General features: G+C 38.5%; 1 annotated feature.

Annotated features, from left to right (window-relative positions):
- Positions 359-914: an enhancer, noted in NCBI's record as "H3K27ac-H3K4me1 hESC enhancer chr11:89477010-89477565 (GRCh37/hg19 assembly coordinates)". NCBI's record gives its function as "activates a minimal SCP1, AML or CMV promoter by ChIP-STARR-seq in primed H9 embryonic stem cells {active_cell/tissue: H9 hESC(primed)}" and the evidence as "EXISTENCE:reporter gene assay evidence [ECO:0000049][PMID:30033119]".

The following is a 6,983-nucleotide window of genomic DNA, read 5'->3' as shown; positions in this document are numbered from 1 at the left end:
GTCTGTGCCCTGCCCCCAGAGGTGGAGCCTACAGAGGCAGGCAGGCCTCCTTGAGCTGCGGTGGGCTCCGCCCAGTTCGAGCTTCCCAGCTGCTTTGTTTACCTAATCAAGCCTGGGCAATGGCGGGCGCCCCTCCCCCAGCCTAACTGCTGCCTTGCAGTTTGATCTCAGACTGCTGTGCTAGCAATCAGGAGACTCCGTGGGCGTAGGACCCTCCAAGCCAGGTGCCGGATATAATCTCGCGGTGCGCCATTTTTTAAGCCCGTCGGAAAAGCGCAGTATTTGGGTGGGAGTGACCCGATTTTCCAGGTGCCATCCGTCACCCCTTTCTTTGACTCGGAAAGGGAACTCCGTGACCCCTTGCGCTTCCCAAGTGAGGCAATGCCTCGCCCTGCTTCGGCTCGCGCTCGGTGCGCGCACCCACTGACCTGCGCCCACTGTCTGGCACTACCTAGTGAGATGAACCCGGTACCTCAGATGGAAATGCAGAAATCACCGTCTTCTGCGTCGCTCATGCTGGGAGCTGTAGACCGGAGCTGTTTGTATTCGGCCATCTTGGCTCCTCCCCACAAAGGTACAATTCTTGACAGCATGACACTCAGAGTTAAAGATGGTATTATTTGGCTTAAAAACCACAAATACTGACAAATATAAACTAAACTTATGAGTTTGCTATTTTAGTAAAATATCATTGGTTAAAATACTGATCTCTTTGCTTCTCTGTTACCTCATCTATACATTCATGAACTGGAAATAAAATTATGGTTAGATTAGGCCAGGTGTGGTGCCTCATGCCTATAATCCCAGCATTTTGGGAGGCTGAGTAGGCCAGATCACTTGAGGTCAGGAGTTCAAGACCAGCCTGGCCAACATGGTGAAACCCCATCTCTACTAAAAATACAAAAATTATCCAGATGTAGTGGTACATGCCTGTAATCCCAGCTACTCAAGAGGCTGAGGCAGGATAATTGCTTGAACCTGGGAGGCAGAGGTTGCAGTGAGCCCTGATTATACCAGTGCACTCCAGCCTAAGTGACAGAGCAAGACTCCATCTCACAAAACAAAACAAAACAAAAAAATTACAATGAGATTAGATATAGGTAAATGTTAGACTTAATGCTTATAAAGTACCTAGCTCACAGTAGATTTATAGAAAATGTTAGGCTGCCACCTTTTTTTCTTCTTTGTTTCTTTCATCATCCATATTTCTCCTTTACTTAATTCCGATGAAAACCTTTAATGCATATTATGTAACAATATATATTACATTAAATAAATTAAAATGCAATTAATGATATTTATCTGCAATGCACATAAAGACCTACTACCTTGCTAGAATTTGGTCCCAAATTTGACCCAAGTATACCAGAAATGTTTTAAAATAGTGTTGTGGATTGTGTCTGTGTATGTGTGTATGTATGTGTGTGTGTGTTTGCGTGTATACATATATATATACACACTATATATTTGTACATAATAATGAGAGAGCGTTGAATGCAATGGCAATTGATAGAAAGTGCAGTACAATTTTTAAAATGTAAAAATGTTTCTGAAAGGAAATTAAATCAAAATTTGTCCTTGATATAACAAGTATTAATTCAAAAAGGAAGTATTGGAAGTGGAAGTGATGTCCAGACAGAGGAAACAGCATACCCAAACATTCAAAGTGAAGAAGGCCATGATGCTTGTGGAGAATCTACTTCTACATTTCTTTGTTCCAGTCTTCTGTTACACACAGCTCATGGAAACTGCTAAACACACTGAGATCCAGTTTAGAGGCATTTCTTGTTTACACATTTTTAAAAATTTCACCTTAAAATTCTGAAAATATAGAGAGGTACAGTGTGCTTTCAGACTATTTCCAAACTTCTAAAGAAAAACAGAGAAAAACTAGGTTAACAAAATTAAAATTCATGAACAATATTTACAACAACACAGGGTAACAATGTGCCCTACAAAAAATCCCCAGTGTAAATAGTGACAGACAAATCAGGAAGACCTGCAATATCCATGAGGAATCAGAATCCTTTCAAGATGAAGCAGAGGGTGAACACAATATATTATGGATTTGAGAACCCCCAAGTCAGCAACAAGGATTTATTAGAAAGTGGGCAAGGCAATTAAAAAACAGCTACGGAAACTAAGTAGGGTGGGAGTTTGCACACATCAATAAGCAAGAGTCCAGGATGAGATAAAAAAGAGGCTGGGACCATATGGCTTCTACAACTCTTAAAATAACCAGACCAAATTCTCTTCCAGGATCAAGTTCCGTATTGAGAAGAATTTACTGTAAGTAAACTACATATTAAACAAGGCTGACACAATAGGGCCAAAAAAAGAGAAGGCCTCTAAAAAGTAAGTGGGGACAGAAGCAGAACCAGGACAGAGCAAAAAGTGAAAGGTCTTATTATTGAATATCTTATAAAATCAACAGGAGAGCTCTAGATTCAGGATGCTAGGAAAGCTATCTTGACCGATCTTTACCTTATAAAAGTTCAAGTTTAATTCCATACAAATGGCATCAATACGGCATGCTTTTGTTGTTGTTTGTTTCTTATTTAAGGAGAGTGCAGAGGGAAGAAAGTGCCTTTCCCAAAATAGTATACCTTGATATGACTGTTCATGAAGTAACGTCTAGTGTTTTTAAAAGAACCTTAGTGCCAGGGCTACAGTGAGCTTATATTCTGCAGCTGCAACCTTGAGAGAAGTGCTTCTGGGCAGTCCTCTTTGTTTCCTTCCCAGCAGAACCTCAGCCCCACCTCACTGGATCCAGCTCCATCACTGTGCCTGGCCACCTCAAGTTATTCCTGAAGGTCAATTTCTGGAGTATGTCCTAATCCTCTCCTCCTCCAAGCACCCCTCTTGGTCCCTGCAATATCCCTCCCGAACCCCCACCTAAAAGCCTTTCTGCCTGCCCTTGTCCCATAATACCTCACCCAAGAATGTATTATAAGCCAGCGTGGTGGCTCACACCTACAATCCCAGCACTTTGGGTGGCCTAGGCAGACGGATTGCCTGAGGCAAGAAGTTCGAGACCAGCCTGGCCAACAAGATGAAACCCCCTCTCTACTAAAAATACAAAAATCAGCAGGGTGTGTTGACACATGCCTGTACTCTCAGCTAGTCAGGAGGCGGAGGCATGAGAATAGCTTGAACGTGGGAGGCAGAATTTGCAGTGATAGAGATAGCGGCACTGAACTTCAGCCTGAGCAACAGAGTGATGACACAGTGAGAAAAAAAATGAGAAATAGGAAGAGGCAGAGGTAGGTATCTATCTACATATCGATATATCTATGTATTTAGTTATGTATAATATATATGCATATTATACATGTACATGAATATATGCATTATATGTTGCTTAATATGTAGTTTACTTCCATTATTATATATATAGTACATTATACATGCATATATGAGAGAGAGATCTCAAATTGATAGAATCCCTAATAACAAGCAGCTACCACCCCCATTTTTCACAATGGCTAATTACTTTACTGCGTGATTTACTCTCAGATATGGTACTGAGGACCACGAGGTATATCCAGCAAATTATCTGCAAATTCAAGTGCAAGTTTTTGGCTTTAGAAAATGTTTCAAATCAGTCAGTTACACTTGGGAAATGAGGTTAGGAATATGCACCCAAAGGGTTGATCTTAACTATTCATTATCACTAGTGGGAAAATTCTGGAGATTAAGGGATGTTTGGGGTGGCTGTCTTGCTCTGAGAGGGGTATGGGTGGGGAATGGATTTATCCTCTTTTCCTTTTGTGTTAATAATGGTGGGAGATTTTGGTTACTGTGAATAGTACCTACATGAGCTGGATAAATCATGAGCACTAAAGGTTTTGGGAGGGTAAAGAGAGGGGCTGCAGGGACTGCAGGGAGGAGGGACCGGGGCTTTTTCAGAAAGTTTGCAGAGAGAAAGCAGTCAGCTTCTCTGTCCATCATCCACAGCTCCAGGATTAAAGAAAACTCTGCTTTCTCCCTGCACATTCTCTTTGTATCTGCAAGAGAAAGTAGATGGGTTAAAATTAGTGAACTGAAATTAGTATTTTCCAGAAAGACAATTGAATCACTACCAAGATATGTAAAGGCAACTGGGGCCTTGTGAGGCCACCCAAACCAGCCTCCATCCAGGGTAATGAAAGGGGATCCAGTTGTCCCCAAAGCTGGAGATTTCAGGTAATTAGGAAAGAGCCAAGGAGGCAGTGGAGGGGTCAGGTTAAAATAAAACGCCTTGTGTAATATCTGCATTAATGGGCCAGGCTAGGAAAGAAAAACTGGTAAATATAAGTTGATAGAAGAAAAATAGGAGAGAAAGTTTTATTTTATTTTTTAAAATAACTTTCTGAAACCAACTTTATTTATGTGAGTTTTATGGAAGAAAGGACTAGAATTAATAGGAATAAAAATATGTGTGTTTAGCAAAGGAAGTTGGTGGTCAGATAAAGAATGTAGTTGAAAAGATGGTGGTGGTGAGATGAAGAACATGGTTTCTGTAAACTGTTGGGAATGAAATATTTCACTGACTTCAAAAGAGATGGAAAGTTTCACAAATGAGTACAGAGAACATACTCATGTGGTGAATAAATATGCTTTGTAGCCTGTCAGGTTCTTTCCCTTACACTCTTACACCTTTCTTTTGCTTTGGACTCACGGAATCAGGGATAGGTCAGTAACCTGACTAAAGGTATCAGAAACACCAGCTTCTGAGAATGCTAACATACTGACTACTTGATTTTCTTTATCTATTTCTATGAAACATTTTCTGTACCATTTTTAAAAGTGTAGAGGTAACATTAGTTTTGATTTTCTTTAAATAAAAATATTCTCTCTTAGAATACTGTGCATGTCTTTCCTTTTATGCTATATCTTTTCTTTTCCCTTGATCTCTAAGCCAGTCCAGGTAAATAAATACCTGAGTGTGTTTATCCAAACTGATGGGCTAATGCAAGAGCACAGGTTTCTTCCCCCTGACCTGGAATTTTCCTTTCTCTGTTAGACACCTGCTAAGTCCCAATTCATCAAGTGTAAGTTTCAACATTTCTTCAGGGAATTATTTCTTTAGCTCCTGGACTAGATTAGGTTATTTGTTGTATAGACTCAGAAAATCTTATACCTTTCTTTGTAAAACTCACAATGTAATATTGGGCTTCTTTTCTGGTTTTCAAATTGCAGGAGAAGGATGGTGTTTGTACTACACACAGGTATATTCCAAGAAATTACACAACGCTTAATATATAACATATTCAATAATTGTTTGAATAAAAGAATAAATGCACAAAATAATTGATAAAAACATGTGATACAACTGTTTAAAAGGCAACCAAATTTACCCCTGTATTTCTGTTGATTTTGGCTACTGAATGTAACCAAAATCAATAGGGATACTGAGAAATACTATTTAATAAAGTTGTAAATTGGACTGCTTATCAAATTGATAGGCTCAGCAAATTTTCTTTAGCTCAGTCACAAACTATTGATGAACACAGATCTTAACAGAATGACAATGATACAAATAAAAAGACTGAAAATCTGTAAGATTTTAGTAATTTCACTGATGGCATCCTACACACACAGTTACCTGGGAACATGTCATTAGCAGAATAGAAAATAAGACTCAATTTTGCTTCAGAAAATACAGAATACTCAGAAGCCTCATTGCATTTTAATAAAATTCCAAATTTATTTAGTTCTTAGAAATTTTTAAAATACATGTGCATTAAAATATCCTTATTATCAGAAATACCTATATTTTGATCATGTTAATTTTGTATGAAGCCTTTCCTTAAGTATCGATTGGAAATTGGTTCCAGGACTCCCCAGGGATATCAAAATCCTTGGATGCTAATAATCCTCAGATGTCCTTACATAAGATGGCGAGGTATTTGCATGTAGCCTAAGCACATCCTCCAATGTACTTTAATTATCTCTAGATTACTTAAAATACTTAATGCAATGTAAATGCTATGTAAGTAGTTGTTACACTGAATTATTTAGGGAATAATGACAAGCAAAAAAAATCTGCACATGTTGAGTGCAAATGAAACCATCCGATATTTTTTTCCTGAATATTTTTAATCCATGGTGAGTTGAATACATGGGTGCAGAACCCTATCATATGGAGGTCCAACTGTATACCAAATATCATATATAATGGTGTATTTTCTGATATTTAATTTAATTACTGGCAATATGGCACACAACAAACATATCCAAAGTTTTTGATATGTAGTTTTTTAATTTATTTAAAGCAATCCAACAATGCCTCCTTTAATGAAGATTGCTGACAGCAAAGTCTAAAAAAGACTGACTCCATCTATAAGCAGCAGGCCTAATCCAAAAGTTTAATGACAGATGGGTTGCATAATGGGTTATTTCAATGATAGGAGTAATGCAAACATACAATTCTGTAGTCATTTATATTTTAATTGTATTATACTCTTTTAACCATCCTCATCTTGTGTATTATCTCATTGTGTATTAGAATACAACTATTAGAGCAATAAGGAAGAGTGGATGAATACGGCCAGTTTTTTGTTATTGTTTTGTTTTGTTTTTTTGAGATAGGCTCTCACTCTGTCTCCCAGGTTGGAGTGCAATGGTGAGATCACGGCTCACTGCAGCCTCAACCAACCCAGATCAAGCAATCCTCCAACCTCAGTCTCCCATATAGCTGGCTACAGGCTGCAACATCATGCCTGAGTAATTTTTTTTTTTTTTTTTTTTTTTTTTGAGAAACAGGGTCTCACTCTGTTGCCCAGGCTTGTCTCAAACTCCTGGGCTCAAGAGATCCTCCTACCTTAACCTCTAAAATTGCTGGGACTATAGGCACAAGCCACTATGCCAGGCCTAAATTCAGCCAATTAAACTGAAGTTTAAATTATTTGTGTTTCACTCTCTTTCATTATAAAAAAATCTGTGTCTTAAAATGTGTTCTTGAATATGAATTACTTTATGATTGCACCTTCATAAGACTA

Source organism: Homo sapiens, chromosome 11 (genome assembly GCF_000001405.40).
Source record: "Homo sapiens chromosome 11, GRCh38.p14 Primary Assembly".
Lineage (NCBI taxonomy): Eukaryota > Metazoa > Chordata > Mammalia > Primates > Hominidae > Homo > Homo sapiens.
This window is presented reverse-complemented; position numbering and strand designations above follow the sequence as displayed.